We start from the raw sequence: 14,158 nt of genomic DNA, 5'->3' as shown, positions 1-14,158 counted from the left end.
GGTTTATATGGACAGATCACTGTGGAAATGAGAGTATGGGTATGGGCAGATGGAGATATTGCAGAAGGGAATTTGAGGCCCAGAGACAGGCTGGATCCCCTGGAGAAATGAGGGTAGAAGAGCGCACAATAGGCATCTGGCAGCCCTCTGTAGGAAGGAGAAACTTCCCTGAAAGGAGGTGTCCCCACATCATGGTATCTGAAAAGAGCTGCCTCCTCACCCCCCATTGTGGAACACAAGTTTCATTCTTAGTACTCAGAGTAAGTATGGGAGAGGGCTTGGGTAAGTAAATGGGGCCCAGTCTTGATGTCGAGAGCATTTAACGAGGGAAACTGGAAGCCTTGCAGAACGGGGGAGAATGGCCCGCTTGCCACAATGAGTGCAGCAAGAGGGTGGGCCAGGGAGCTGAAGGGAAGGTTGGAAAAAGAAAACACCTACTTCAAAGGTGACAGGGAGCTTTTGACAGGACCTGATGTCTTTGATGCCAAAAACTCCAGTCCTAAGATGAGGAGAGTTAAATGTGGAATGCTAGTGGGTCTACAGAGTCAGCCAGGAGCTAGCGGAAGACTTGTCTGCATCCCTGGTGCTCTGCTCAGGAGCAGGGGGATTGTAATTCCCTGAGGCAAGCTCTTGCCTTCCCTGAACTCATTTCTTTGTACCAGTTCTCCAGTCCCTTGGATCCTAGAGAAGGGGAGAGCCATCTGGCCAGGCCTTCCTCTAGGAAAATGAGATGAGAAGGGTAATGCAGAGATGGCATGAGGTTCATCCCACTCACTACTGGTTAGTAAAGGGCCCTTTCTACAAGGAAGTCCAAGTTTCTTTTCAACTCGTCCCACTTCCATAGGTCTTGGACCCATGCAAAAAAGGTACATGAGCAGAGGGAGACATTATCCTTGGCCTGGGGTTAGGGCAGCAAGGCAGTGGTGCTGGGACATTGGTTTTCACTCAGGTCCTGAATCTCTGGGAGTCAGGAAAAGGGAAAAGTGACAGGCTGATGGGTTAGGTTTTCTGAGGGCCAAAGGGTTTTAAGATTGGGCTCTTTCCTGGCCAGGCGCAGTGGCTCACGCCTGTAATCCCAGCACTTTGGGAGGCCGAGGCGGGCGGATCACCTGAGTTTGGGCGTTCGAGACCAGCCTGACCAATATGGAGAAACCCCGTCTCTACTAAAAATACAAAATTAGCCGGGCATGGTGGCACATGCCTGTAATCCCAGCTACCCGGGAGGCTGAGGCAGGAAAATCACTTGAACCTGGGAGGCTGAGGTTGCAGTGAGCCGAGATCGCGCCATGGCACTCCAGCCTGGGCAACAAGAGCGAAACTCCGTCTCAAAAAAAAAAAAAAAAAAAAAAATTAGGCTCTTTCCTGAGGTGGGAAGATCACTTGAGTCCAGAAGTTCAAGATCAGCCTGGCAACATAGTGAAACCCCGTCTCTACAATAAATTTAAAAATTAGCTGGGTGTGGTGGTGTATGCCCGTGGTTCCAGCTACAGGTGGGAGGCTGAGGTGGGATGATCACTTGAGCCCAGGAGGTTGAGGTTGCAGTGAGCTGTGATTGCGCCACTGAGACCCTGTCTCTCAAAAAAACAAAAAACAAAACAAAAAAAATTCGGTTATTTCAGCTTCTAGGATTGGGTCCATAGGGTGGCTGGAGGGTATGCATAATAAGGGAAGGAGATGGTATACGCTGGAGGGCTACCTTGGGGCATAATTCAATGTAGAAGGTTTCCTGGACTGCTGACTTCTTTTTTTTTTTTTTTTTTTCTGAGGCAGAGTCTTGCTCTGTTGCCCAGGCTGTAGTGCAGTGGTGCAATCTCAGCTCCCTGCAACCTCTACCTCCTGGGTTCAAGCAATTCTCCTGCCTCAGCCCTTGAGTAGCTAGGATTACAGGCACGTGCCACCATGTCAGGCTAATTTTTGTATGTTTAGTAGAGACGGGGTTTCACCATTTTGGCCAGGCTGGTCTTGAACTCCTGACCTTGTGATCCACCTGCCTTGGCCTCCCAAAGTGCTGGGATTACAGGCATGAGCCACCATGCCCCGCTGGAATATTGACTTCTATACAGGCAGGGGAAGATGGGGAACATTATACAACTAAAGATTTTTTTTTTTTTGAGGTGGAGAATGTGGCCCCAACAAGATGAGGATGGAGGCCATTGGAGATACTATGAGACTTCAGGATATAAAATGGGAAAGTGCCTGAAAAATATGGGACATTGAGGATAAGCAGGATTTGGTGTTCAAGAATGAGGGAAACAATGCTGGTATATTGTGGAGTCTCTTAAGAAGGAAGGACATGAACATATTATAGGATTTCAGTATTAGGAATGCTGGATGGATGAACATTGCTTTCCAAGAAAAATCCCCTAGTAAGTAGGGAACAGATAGGAGATCATGTTGACTATGGTCTATACCCATAAATCCTTTAAGTATCATCTTCCAGCCTCTAGAAGGACCACGATAAATCTTATTGGGATATGTTCTCTCTTGGAACCAGTGGGATTTTATTTTCTGTAACAGGAAATTGGGAAACAGTGCTCAGCAGTTCTCCCTTGGCACCATTCTGTCGTGTATCATAGTTTGCTTGGTTGCTTATGCTTTTTGAAGGGAGGCCCCCTGGTCTTCCTTGATTCTCCATGGTGCGGAGCTCGGCCTTGCTAGGTACTCTGTCAACACAGGTTGAATGAACATGAGTAGTGGTGAGTAGCGGGAGGGCAGGCCTTCACTCTTGGTGTGTATAGAGCAGGAACCTGAGTTCACATCGTGATGGGATGTCCATCCCCAGGAATGGCCTGGGGGTGTTGGTGAAAGATCCCTGACCTGGGGATGTGGTGAGGGGGAGGATTGCTAGAATGTTGAGAGATAGTCTTTGGATGGGAGTTGGTAATTATTATGGGATGCTGTAGGGTGAATTAGACTTCATGTAAATGTTTCATCTGTCAGCTTGGTATTTTGGTTGGTTGGTGTTCCTCAAAACTTAGGAGCTGGAGGTAAGCATCTGGAAAATACCTAGATTTTGGTGGGACTGGGTGGGGCCCTAGGTGGGCTCCCAGCCCCCGAGTGTCTGGAAATGATGGTATGAGGGAAGCTGGGGTCCCAGACATCAGGAGGCTTTTTGCCAGGATACTACTTTGGCCCAGAAAGGGATTAAGGTGTGTGCAAGTGGGGGCGGGGACAAGGAAGCGTGGGTAGCCTGCCTGGCCCTCCCTGCTCTGGGTGTTAGAATAGACTGACAGCGCCTGGAGATGGGGGTGGGAAGAATATGAATATTATGGGATGCCTGGCTCGAAGGGTATAGGGGTGGTAGAGTGGAGATGAAGCATTATGGGATGTGACACTGGGTTGTGTTGGGAGTATTATGGTATGTTTGGTTGACCACGGGCTCCTTGCAATTATTATGGGATGTCAGGATGTGGGTAGGAGAGTAAAATTATTATGGGATAGCTTTCCAGTGTTAGAGGAAAAGAGATTAGATGTCCATCTGTGGGGCGACAGTAGGGCTGTTGATCATTATGGGTTATCTTTTTGATAGAGGAGGGGTACTTACTATAGGCTGTGGAGCTAGAAGAGGGAAGGCTGGGGGTGATGTGAGCCTCTAGACCCTGGCCTGCAGGGACTGAGGGCAGCTCTAGGGGGTTAGTTATTATGGGATGTCAGTATAGAAAGTGGGAGACTGATTATTACGGGATGTGTGTGGGAGGAGGCCGAGTGTCCGTTGTTGTAGTATGGGGGGGGGTGAGTTTCTGACTATTATGGGATATCAAACTGGGGGTGGATGAAGGATGGTTATTATGGGATGTCTGTGGGGGATGGGGCTGAATATTATGGGATATGAGGCATAAGTGCTGCGAGGGGTGCTTATTATGGGATGGCCATGGGGAGGGAGGGGTGATGAATTATTATGGGATGTTAGCATTAGGTCCAAGAGTGAAGAAGAAGTTGGCAAAGGATGTCTATTATGGGATGTCTAAGAGGGTTAGTTGCAAAAGGTCTGCAATATTTTGAGATGTCAGCAGTCTCTGGCATATGTGTATGAAATGTGGGGGGGCAGGGTGTGTGTGTGTTGTGTGTGTGTGTGTGTGTGTGTGTGTGTGTGTGTGTGTGTGTGTTGGGGGGGGGGGTGTCCGTGTGTATTATGGGATGGCCAGGAGGTGGGCGGTTGCCCAGGTGACGCGCGCGCGCCCGCTGCGAAGGGGGCGTGGCCAGTGGTTGCCTGAGCGACGAGGGGGCGGGGGTTGCCCGGGAGACCTGGGGAGGAGGGTGGCGGTAGTGGAAGGGGGGGGTTGGAGTTGGTTGAGGTTATTATGGGCTGTCCGTGGGGGGGCGGGGCCTGTGCGGTGGGATTTCCCGGCCGGTGTTTCAGGCCCTTTAAGAGGCGACGCTGGAGCCGGAGCCATTTTCCCCCCTTCGGCCGCGGCGAGGAGGAGCCGGAGCGGGAGTGACACCGAGCCGGACCCAGCGCGACCTGCGGCGGCTCCGGGGTGAGGAGAGCGCGGGGTTCCCAAAGAGACGCCCCTCACGGCCCTACCAGCCCCGAGGGTCATCCCGTCACCCGCCCCTTCCTCAGGCGTCTCCGGACCCGCGGACCGCCCCTTGCCCAGAGGAGCCGACCCTTCCTTTCCTGGCCCTGCAGGGCGCCCGGCCTCCTCCCCAGCCCCCGCCCTAACCCTGCCGGAGTCTTGCTCCCCGCGACCCCCCGCCTCCGGCTTGGTCTCCCACAATGCCCGGCGCCCACCCCCTCGCCCTTTGATCACTTGCCCCCCGGGACACGTGGCCCGGCCCCCTTCCCGGTGGGACGCTTTCGCCCCCCGCGTCCCTGCCTCCGGCCCCCCGCAGCGCCCGAGCCTCCACGCCCCCTCGTCCCCGCAGCTCTTGAGGAGAACCTGAGTTGTCCCAGAGGACAGCCTTTGGAGAGCTGCCCTGTCTGGGGACTGGCCCCTCCCCGGGCGCAGGGAGGCGCCCCCCCACCCCCAAGTGACCTTGTGTCCCCGAGCGCCTCGCCGCCTGCGGCCTCCCCTGGCCCCCCCGCGCCGCTGCCACTCGGACCCCCTCCCCCGTCACACCCCGCTCGGTCCAGCCCCGCGTCTCCCCTCCCCGCGCTTGCACCAGCCTGCCCTCGGAGGCGTCGCTCCCTCGCTCCGTGGGGGCGCCTGCCGGGGAGCCGGCTTCCGGGCTGCCCCCGAGGAGTGTGGAACTAAGTTCAGCCTGAGCGGTTCGGGTGCCCTGCTAGGGTGGCTGGGGTGGGGGGCGGAAAGAGCGGGTGGGTGTGGGGGAGGGGGACAGTGCGCGTCACTGACTGTTCTGTGTTTCTCCCCCCTCCCCCGCACAGTGACTCGGGCCAGTGTAGAGGTCCTCAGGCCGCCGGCAGGAGCAGCTGGGCCAATTCCCTGGCCGGGAGCGGAAGGGGATGGCGTCGGGCCTGGGCTCCCCGTCCCCCTGCTCGGCGGGCAGTGAGGAGGAGGATATGGATGCACTTTTGAACAACAGCCTGCCCCCACCCCACCCAGGTAACATCTTCCCCAAGGGCCCATGGCGGGAAGGAGACATCTGGGGCTCTCCCGAGTGACTCCTCTGGTGAGGCAGGGCTGTGTTGCTCCGCTGTCTCTGTGCAGAGCCGGAGGTGGAGGGTATCCGAAGGGAGTGGTTCCCTTCTGCGGAGCTCTGGTGTGAGGGGGGTGGAAGCCATGTGCCTCCTGGGCACGGAGATGCCAGCTTGCTGCACTCTGTCTTGAGGAATGCTCTGCAGTTCCCAGTTGAGGGAGCTCTCTGGGCTGGCAGGCATTACCTGGTATGTGGGTCCTCGGAGGAATGCAGGTAGCTGGGACCCCTGGAGGCTTGTGGTGGTGGTGGTGGAGGGGGGCGTTGAGGATTCTGTTTGAAAGACCAGCCGGGCATCTGTGCTAGTAGGATCCTGTGGTTGCTGCTGTGGAAAGGAAAGAGGGAGTGCTGGTTACACTCTATCTGATTATTTTTAGCTTCTGATCGGTTACCGGTTTTCTGTGCTGTCTGAACTGTGTGAAGTTTGAATCGCGCTCCTCAGCAGGATCTGGAGTGCTTAAAGCAGCCAGGCAGATTGCTGGAATGTTTTGAGTGGGGAAGTGATGGGGGCTCGGGGAGGATGTAATAGCCTAGTGAAGAGGGGCAAAAGAAGGGAGGGCACTCCTCCTCCTGGTGAGTGGACATAGTTTTGGCTTTTTTCCTAGTGGCTTCTGTCTCTATGAGGTAGCCTGCGGTTTAGGCTGGCAGTGTGAAGTGTCTGTGTAGGTGTGCTAGGGGTTACGCTATCTGTGTTTTGGGGTGGCTTCATGAACTGGCCAAACCCGTATGGTTGTAACCACCCTGTCTGATTGGGGGAACTGTTGTCTATCCTCAAATGATGGTTGATGTCATGCCCCTAAGCAGATGTCTTTCTCTTCTGTGTCCTTTTTCAGAGCCCCTAGCTGTGTCACCTACTCATCTCCTTGACCTTCATGTTTTCTAGTTTAATTTTTTTTTCTACATGTCATTTCTTCATTCCTTCTGCTTCTAGTTTTCTTCTCATTCTGGAGCCTGCTGATCCTGTTTTTGTTTCTCATCCAGCATCATTCACTTCTGCCTTCTCTCTTCTTAGCTTCAGTGGAAGTTGAGGTGGTCTGGGAGAGATGCTTTCACATTTGGCACTTTTTAAGTTGGAATTCTTCACTTCAACCTGAGGCCATTTAGGAGAGGGGTTAGTGTTGTCATGGAGTCTGGGCTGTTGGGATGAGAAACTTGGTTTCATCCTTGTGTAGAGTAGGGGGCAGATTTCCATGCCCTTGCCCAAGGTGAGGGCGGAGTTGTGGTGCTGGTAAGGGGACCCTGTCCTTCTGAGAGGGGCATGAGAAACAGTAGTGCTGCCTAAACATTCTGGGTTCCACGTCTTGGCCTCCCATTGGCCACTTGGGCTGGGGCTGCCTTTCATGTTGACCGGGAGCTGCGCAGGAGCTGTGAACTCTGTCCTGAGCTGTAGCATGACCCACTTTTTCCACTTGCCACACCCCATTCCTGTCCCTTTCCTAAATCTTCTCTATATCTCAGTAAGTTTGCGGTTTGCCATTTCAGCATATTATTTGCCTGAGAAGTTTGGGGGGCTCCATGTGCATGGAAGGATGTCCCCTTTGCCTCCATGGGTTGTCTTTGTCTCCACTTCCAGCTTTTATGGGGGTGGTGAGATGTAGCTGATGGGGGTTGGGGGTTGACTTGGGGATTGGTGGGGAAAAGTCCTTAAGAAAATGATTCTTTCTGGTGAAATCCAGGCTGATGTTGCATTCCCAAGGGGGAATGGGAGGGGCGTTCTTGTGCCTGGTCTTATTCTGGGCTGAGAAGCAGGGAGGCTGATGGTGCTTTGTCCAGCCTAATGTCTCATTCCCTAGTATCTGTCTAGCTCAGGAAGTGGGGAGCCAGAGACATTTTAGGGCTAATTTTGGGGGTTAAGAGCTAAGAACATGTCAGGGATTGAAGGAGGGATATTATTTTCTTTTTTATTTTTGAGATGGGGTCTCACTCTGTCGCCAAGGTTGGAGTGCAGTGTGCGATCTTGGCTCACTGCAACCTCCGCCTCCCGGGCTCAAGCGATTCTCCTGCCTCAGCCTCCTGAGTAGCTGGGATTACAGGCACCCACCACCATGCCTGGCTAATTTTTGTTTTTTTAGTAGAGACAGGGTTTCACCATGTTGGCCAAGCTGGTTTCGAACTGACCTCAAATGATCTGCCCGCCTCAGCCTCCCAGAGTGCTGCGATTACAGGCATGAGCCATTGCACCCGATTGGGATATTCTCTTCTACCACTGTCTAGGTCCTGCTCTGTTTTTTTGTGCAGACATTCCCATATGTTGGATAGGAATCTGGGTGGGAGTGGTGAGGAAGCTGAGCTTCAGAGACTTCTTGTGGGCCTCCATTCCTCAAACTAAATCTTTTGGGTATCAGAAATTTGGGGAGAAGGTTGTATGCGCTGACCACAAGTCCACTGAGCCTTTGTTAAATCTCAGCTCTGATGATTGAAAAAATAATTATGATTGAGGGAGTGATCGAGTTCTTCTCTTAGTATTACCTTCATGTTTGTCTCGCTTTCCTTGGGTTTCCTTGCTTAGGATGTTAGGGTGGGCTCTTGTGAACTGTTGTCATCCCAGAGTAGGTGGCATTTGGACCTGGGGCCAGGTAATTTGGGGAGGCTTCTATGAGGGCAGTCTCCCCCCCCGCCACCCCACCTCTCTCAAACCCACCCCCTCCCCTGCCACTTCCTGTCTGTCCTATGTTGGCAGCTGGGTGCCCTGGGCTGGCTTCTGCGGTCAGGAGCCATTTTCCCTCTCCTCAGTGGGTGAGGCACTCCCTTCTTCTCTCCACTCCTTTCTCTACCCACCCCCCTTTGGGCGGGGGTGGCTTGGGAAGAGGGAGAGAGGAGGGAGGAGGGAGTCGGAGCCAGTGTGAATGTCTGTTACAAAGGAAGCTGCCTCCTGGTCTTCTCTGTGTCCCTTCCCACCTATCCTTGCCCAGGAGCTTTCAGTCTTACCCAGGCTTTGTGTGTGCCTCCAGCCAGGGGAGGAGGTGGAGCCAGATGGGAGGAGGCTTGCTGGGGGGCGGGTGTAGGGGAGATGGTGACAGCTGGGCTGATTCGGGCCCCTAGGGAGAAGAGGCTGCTGACCCAGGAGAAGCTGAGGAGGAACATTAGGGTTGGAGATGGGGAAAGGAAATTGTATTTTAGAAGTGGGCATGAGATTGAGCTGGCACCTGAACCTAGGACTTGGAGGTTCTGGTTAATTTGAGCAGTGATGACTTCAAAGTGGTTAGAGAAGGGTGTGGTTTCCGAGACCCCTGAACTGATCCTGTTCTGGGAAGGTATATTCTATAGTTTTTGCCTTCTGAGTAGGATCTTTCATTCTCATTCCCTGGTTTATAGAATAACTTGGTGGCCAGTTACAGGAGGCCTAAATCTAGTTCTCTTACTTGGTGAACTCTGAGCAGCTCAGTTCAGCTGTACTGGTGAACATCTAGAGGACTGGTAGGAACGGGAGAGAGGAGGCAGGGGTCTGGACAGCTGCCCGAGGTGGGCCTGGTCTGGCCTGGCAGGCCTATTTCGGGTATATACAGCTCTCTCTTTGTCTGTTTTTGTCCTGGGTATCAGCTTCCTCCTGTACAGAGTATAGCAGTTCTCTTCAGAGGAATCTGGGACAAGAGGTGGGGAATAAAGTCTAAAGCCTCTGGATTAGGGCCTAACCTTTTGCTATTGATCTTTTCCCTGCCTACCACTCTTTGCCAAATATATGTAGAAAATGAAGAGGACCCAGAAGAGGATTTGTCAGAAACAGAGACTCCAAAGCTCAAGAAGAAGAAAAAGCCTAAGAAACCTCGGGACCCTAAAATCCCTAAGAGCAAGCGCCAAAAAAAGGAGGTGAGTGGGTGACTGAATGTTACGGGGAATCAGAGGAAGAAGGGAGGAGCTCTGAGAAGGGTTGAAGGGCTGAGGGCATTTGTTTCTTTCTCAGAAGTGGTGGGCCATGTTCTGGGGATGAGCCTCAGGGCTGTCCTGAGGTCAGCATGTGTGTAGCATGTGTGTGTCTGTCTCCCTCTTCCCCCCTTGCCCTGCTCCAGCGTATGCTCTTATGCCGGCAGCTGGGGGACAGCTCTGGGGAGGGGCCAGAGTTTGTGGAGGAGGAGGAAGAGGTGGCTCTGCGCTCAGACAGTGAGGGCAGCGACTATACTCCTGGCAAGAAGAAGAAGAAGAAGCTTGGACCTAAGAAAGAGAAGAAGAGCAAATCCAAGCGGAAGGAGGAGGAGGAGGAGGAGGATGATGATGATGATTCAAAGGTGCCTGGACCTCCATCCTCTTCTTTGTACTGTTAAACTTTTGTCTTTTTGTTTCCTAGACACCTTACTGCCCTTTAGAACACTTTCTCTTCTTTTCCTCTTAACTCTGTTACTCTGATTTTTCCACACAAATTTGCTTAGCAAGTGTGGGCACTAGGTGGCAGGTACTTACTTGACTTTGCTCTTTCTGCAGGAGCCTAAATCATCTGCTCAGCTCCTGGAAGACTGGGGCATGGAAGACATTGACCACGTGTTCTCAGAGGAGGATTATCGAACCCTCACCAACTACAAGGCCTTCAGCCAGTTTGTCAGGTAAAACAGAAGGGGTTTGGGGAAGGGGGAGGAGAATCTTTCTGTTCTCTCTTCTTACTTCTCTTTCTTTTTTTATTCTTAAACCTTTCCCTCTGCTCTTGTGCATTTCTCCACCAGACCCCTCATTGCTGCCAAAAATCCCAAGATTGCTGTCTCCAAGATGATGATGGTTTTGGGTGCAAAATGGCGGGAGTTCAGTACCAATAACCCCTTCAAAGGCAGTTCTGGGGCATCAGTGGCAGCTGCGGCAGCAGCAGCGGTAGCTGTGGTGGAGAGCATGGTGACAGCCACTGAGGTTGCACCACCACCTCCCCCTGTGGAGGTGCCTATCCGCAAGGCCAAGACCAAGGAGGGCAAAGGTGAAATGGGGTTCAAATGGGAGTGGGGGTGTCTAGTGTGGGCTTAAGATGTCAAAGACAGCATGGGAATGCTGGTCTGTCAGCCCTAAGGTAGGAGATAGGAGGGAGGAATGAGTCTTGGATTTTGGAGGGAAATTTGGGAATCTGAATGTGGGGAAGCAAGCTTAGGTGGAGAAGATTTTATTTTCCCCATCTTTGGTCTTGTGGTATATATTTGGATATATCCTGATTTTAGGTCCCAATGCTCGGAGGAAGCCCAAGGGCAGCCCTCGTGTACCTGATGCCAAGAAGCCTAAACCCAAGAAAGTAGCTCCCCTGAAAATCAAGCTGGGAGGTTTTGGTTCCAAGCGTAAGAGATCCTCGGTGAGAGCCCAGCCCATCGCTTTAGGGAGGGTGCCATGTCTAATAGAAAGGATGTGACCTTCTATCAGAACCTGTCCTTCATAGTAGGCACGTAAGAATGTGGGGCGTTTCCCACAGAACAAGATGAGACTAGGCTCCCTGTATAACGGTGCTTGCTGGGATTCTGGTGTCCCCAGTGAGAGAGTACTCCCCTCTCTGCCACTCTGTCCTTCCCCTTGGCTTGAACGTCTAACCTTATTCTTTTTCATCCTGCCAGAGTGAGGATGATGACTTAGATGTGGAATCTGACTTCGATGATGCCAGTATCAATAGCTATTCTGTTTCTGATGGTTCCACCAGCCGTAGTAGCCGCAGCCGCAAGAAACTCCGAACCACTAAAAAGAAAAAGAAAGGTGTGTTTCTCTTCTGTATATTTGTGATGGGATGAGGTGGGAGTGATTGGGGAAGAATCTCCCTAAGGAGATAGGGGTCGGGGGGTGGGGGGAGGTAGTTTTTTTCCAATAACTGGGCTTTCCCTCTTCCTTGCCCAGGCGAGGAGGAGGTGACTGCTGTGGATGGTTATGAGACAGACCACCAGGACTATTGCGAGGTGTGCCAGCAAGGCGGTGAGATCATCCTGTGTGATACCTGTCCCCGTGCTTACCACATGGTCTGCCTGGATCCCGACATGGAGAAGGCTCCCGAGGGCAAGTGGAGCTGCCCACACTGCGTGAGTGTCTGGCCATTGTGGCCCCTTGGAACCCATGAGAAGAAGGGTGGGACAGTAAAGCTCTTCGGGGCCTGGATGGAAATGGAAATGCTGGTGCTGCGGGTTGTGAGCTTTGGGAAGCATTCAAAGGAATGATGGGCACTGGCTTCAGACTGCGGTGGGCGGGTGGGGGTAATAATCTGAATCTGTGGTCCTTTACTGCAGGAGAAGGAAGGCATCCAGTGGGAAGCTAAAGAGGACAATTCGGAGGGTGAGGAGATCCTGGAAGAGGTTGGGGGAGACCTCGAAGAGGAGGATGACCACCATATGGAATTCTGTCGGGTCTGCAAGGATGGTGGGGAACTGCTCTGCTGTGATACCTGTCCTTCTTCCTACCACATCCACTGCCTGAATCCCCCACTTCCAGAGATCCCCAACGGTGAATGGCTCTGTCCCCGTTGTACGGTGAGTGACTGATCTCAGCCGGGGCAAAAAATGGGAAAGTGTAGTCTTTTCTATGTAGGCTATTGTGAGGCTGGGGTGCAGGAGAGGAACTATGAGCTTTTCAGCCCTGAGAAAGGTATTCTCCTTCATCCTATAGTGTTGGGATACTTTTGTCCTGGGAAAATATAGGACTAACTTCAAACTGAGGAGTTGATGTTTTGCCAGCTCTCTTAAGAGGAGATGAAGCAATGTTCTTCTAGCTGAGAACATTTGTCCCTGTGTTGACACCCTGCCTCAGGGTCTTGGTAGCTTACAATGTTTTCAATTTTTTTGTTAAAAAAATTTTTTTTTTTGGAGACAGGGTCTCATTCTGTCATCCGGGCTAGAGTGCAGTGGTGCAGTCATAGCTCATTGCAGCCTCCAACTCTTGGGCTCAAGTGATCCTCCTATCTCAACCTCTTGCTGAGTAGCTAGGAGTACTGGTGCATGCCACCACATCCAGCTAATTAAAAAAAAAAAATCTCTGTTGAGACAGGGTCTCACTATGTTGCCCAGGCTGGTCTTGAATTCCTGGTCTGAAACCATTCTGCTCCCTTGTCCTCATTAAGTGCTGGCATTACAGGTGTTTACCACCATGCCAGCCAGTTTAGAATGTTTAATAGGGCCACTTACTGCTTTAGATTGCTTAAGGGAGGAATTCTGTGCTCTAAGTCTGTTGATTTCCTGATTGTTCTGGCTTATTGTTAAAGTCTAACTACTGGCTCTGTTAAGCAGATAGGAGTGATGGTGGCACGCAAATCCTGGACGATGTCCAGAAATGGAGAGGGAATTCTATTACAGGTTGAGCACCCTAATCCAAAAATGTGAAATCCAAAATACTTCTGGTCCCAAGCATTTCACATGAGGGGTCCTCAACCTGTATTTTCTCCCTGGAGGAGTCCTGGGATTAGATTTTATTTGAAATGAGATCTTTTTTTATTTTTTTGAGATGGAGTCTTGCTCTGTCCCCCAGGCTGGAGTGCAGTGGGGCAATCTTGGCTCACTGCAAGCTCTGCCTCCCAGGTTCAAGTGATTCTCCTGCCTCAGACTCCCAAGTAGCTGGGACTACAGGCGCATGCCACCACGCCCAGCTAATTTTTGTATTTTTAGTAGAGACGGGGTTTCACCATGTTAGCTAGGATGGTCTCGATCTCTTGACCTCGTGATCTGCCCGCCTCGGCCTCCCAAGGTGCTGGGATTTCAGGCATGAGCCACTGCTCCAGGTCTGAAATGAGATCTGAATCGTCCTTTGATGAAGTTGAGACTGTGGGCTGTCCCTTCTCCTCCCATGGTTATGATTTGAGATTAAGTTGTCTCTTTTTCTCTCAGTGTCCAGCTCTGAAGGGCAAAGTGCAGAAGATCCTAATCTGGAAGTGGGGTCAGCCACCATCTCCCACACCAGTGCCTCGGCCTCCAGATGCTGATCCCAACACGCCCTCCCCAAAGCCCTTGGAGGGGCGGCCAGAGCGGCAGTTCTTTGTGAAATGGCAAGGCATGTCTTACTGGCACTGCTCCTGGGTTTCTGAACTGCAGGTAAGTTTAGGATAGTCTGGAGATGTAGGGGCTACGATGAAGAGGATAGTGACAAAAGAGCCTTGTGGATAGAAGGAATGAACACAGCTTCTTGGTGGCTGATTTTCTCTTTCCGCTCAAAGCTGGAGCTGCACTGTCAGGTGATGTTCCGAAACTATCAGCGGAAGAATGATATGGATGAGCCACCTTCTGGGGACTTTGGTGGTGATGAAGAGAAAAGCCGAAAGCGAAAGAACAAGGACCCTAAATTTGCAGAGATGGAGGAACGCTTCTATCGCTATGGGATAAAACCCGAGTGGATGATGATCCACCGAATCCTCAACCACAGGTACCAGCTGAGCACACGGGAGACGGGCAGTCTCCGTGGGAGAGTCCTGCTAAAGAGATTGGGAAAATGGCTGTCACCAGTAACTTAGACTTGGAAGACACTGGTTTTTTTTGTTTGTTTTTTGTTTTTGAGACAGAGTCTCACTCTGTGCCCAGGCTGGAGTGCAGTGGCGTGATCTCGGCTCACTGCAACCTCTGCCTCCCAGATTCAAGTGATTATCCTGCCTCAGCCTCCTGAGAAGCTGGGACTACAGGCGCAAGCCACCATGCCCAGC

General features: G+C 52.1%; 1 protein-coding gene and 1 long non-coding RNA gene across 4 annotated transcripts in view, besides 5 other annotated features; one reads left to right on the top strand and one right to left on the bottom strand.

The window, feature by feature from the left end:
- LOC124902867 (uncharacterized) lies at positions 2,468 to 5,892 on the bottom strand. Its single transcript, XR_007063193.1, has 2 exons — positions 5,783 to 5,892; positions 2,468 to 2,663 (listed from the first exon to the last, which is right to left on the bottom strand). It is a non-coding gene; the product is annotated as an uncharacterized LOC124902867 (long non-coding RNA).
- Positions 3,779 to 3,928: an enhancer, noted in NCBI's record as "active region_5869". NCBI's record gives its function as "activates an Ori minimal core promoter by ATAC-STARR-seq in GM12878 lymphoblastoid cells {active_cell/tissue: GM12878}" and the evidence as "EXISTENCE:reporter gene assay evidence [ECO:0000049][PMID:35858748]".
- Positions 4,399 to 14,158, top strand: part of CHD4 (chromodomain helicase DNA binding protein 4) — a 37,298-nt gene continuing 27,538 nt past the window's right edge. The window contains exons 1-12 of one of the 3 annotated variants that reach the window (NM_001363606.2): positions 4,399 to 4,478; positions 5,327 to 5,504; positions 9,281 to 9,402; positions 9,603 to 9,818; positions 10,012 to 10,130; positions 10,248 to 10,489; positions 10,725 to 10,852; positions 11,109 to 11,244; positions 11,422 to 11,561; positions 11,766 to 12,005; positions 13,353 to 13,556; positions 13,679 to 13,884. In NM_001363606.2, coding sequence (NP_001350535.1) covers positions 5,405 to 5,504; positions 9,281 to 9,402; positions 9,603 to 9,818; positions 10,012 to 10,130; positions 10,248 to 10,489; positions 10,725 to 10,852; positions 11,109 to 11,244; positions 11,422 to 11,561; positions 11,766 to 12,005; positions 13,353 to 13,556; positions 13,679 to 13,884 — 1,853 coding nt within the window. In that variant the 5' untranslated portion in view covers positions 4,399 to 4,478; positions 5,327 to 5,404. Of the gene's footprint in view, positions 4,479 to 5,326; positions 5,505 to 9,280; positions 9,403 to 9,602; positions 9,819 to 10,011; positions 10,131 to 10,247; positions 10,490 to 10,724; positions 10,853 to 11,108; positions 11,245 to 11,382; positions 11,562 to 11,765; positions 12,006 to 13,352; positions 13,557 to 13,678; positions 13,885 to 14,158 lie in introns of those variants that run through there. The other 2 variants (NM_001273.5, NM_001297553.2) reach the window with 2 other exon arrangements.
- Positions 4,519 to 4,618: a silencer, noted in NCBI's record as "silent region_4174". NCBI's record gives its function as "represses an Ori minimal core promoter by ATAC-STARR-seq in GM12878 lymphoblastoid cells {active_cell/tissue: GM12878}" and the evidence as "EXISTENCE:reporter gene assay evidence [ECO:0000049][PMID:35858748]".
- Positions 5,029 to 5,088: a silencer, noted in NCBI's record as "silent region_4173". NCBI's record gives its function as "represses an Ori minimal core promoter by ATAC-STARR-seq in GM12878 lymphoblastoid cells {active_cell/tissue: GM12878}" and the evidence as "EXISTENCE:reporter gene assay evidence [ECO:0000049][PMID:35858748]".
- Positions 5,269 to 5,318: a silencer, noted in NCBI's record as "silent region_4172". NCBI's record gives its function as "represses an Ori minimal core promoter by ATAC-STARR-seq in GM12878 lymphoblastoid cells {active_cell/tissue: GM12878}" and the evidence as "EXISTENCE:reporter gene assay evidence [ECO:0000049][PMID:35858748]".
- Positions 5,669 to 5,828: an enhancer, noted in NCBI's record as "active region_5868". NCBI's record gives its function as "activates an Ori minimal core promoter by ATAC-STARR-seq in GM12878 lymphoblastoid cells {active_cell/tissue: GM12878}" and the evidence as "EXISTENCE:reporter gene assay evidence [ECO:0000049][PMID:35858748]".

Source organism: Homo sapiens, chromosome 12, assembly GCF_000001405.40.
Source record: "Homo sapiens chromosome 12, GRCh38.p14 Primary Assembly".
NCBI classification, from domain to species: domain Eukaryota; kingdom Metazoa; phylum Chordata; class Mammalia; order Primates; family Hominidae; genus Homo; species Homo sapiens.
The sequence above is the reverse complement of the archived record's forward strand: the minus strand, read 5'-3'. Positions and strand labels throughout refer to the sequence as shown.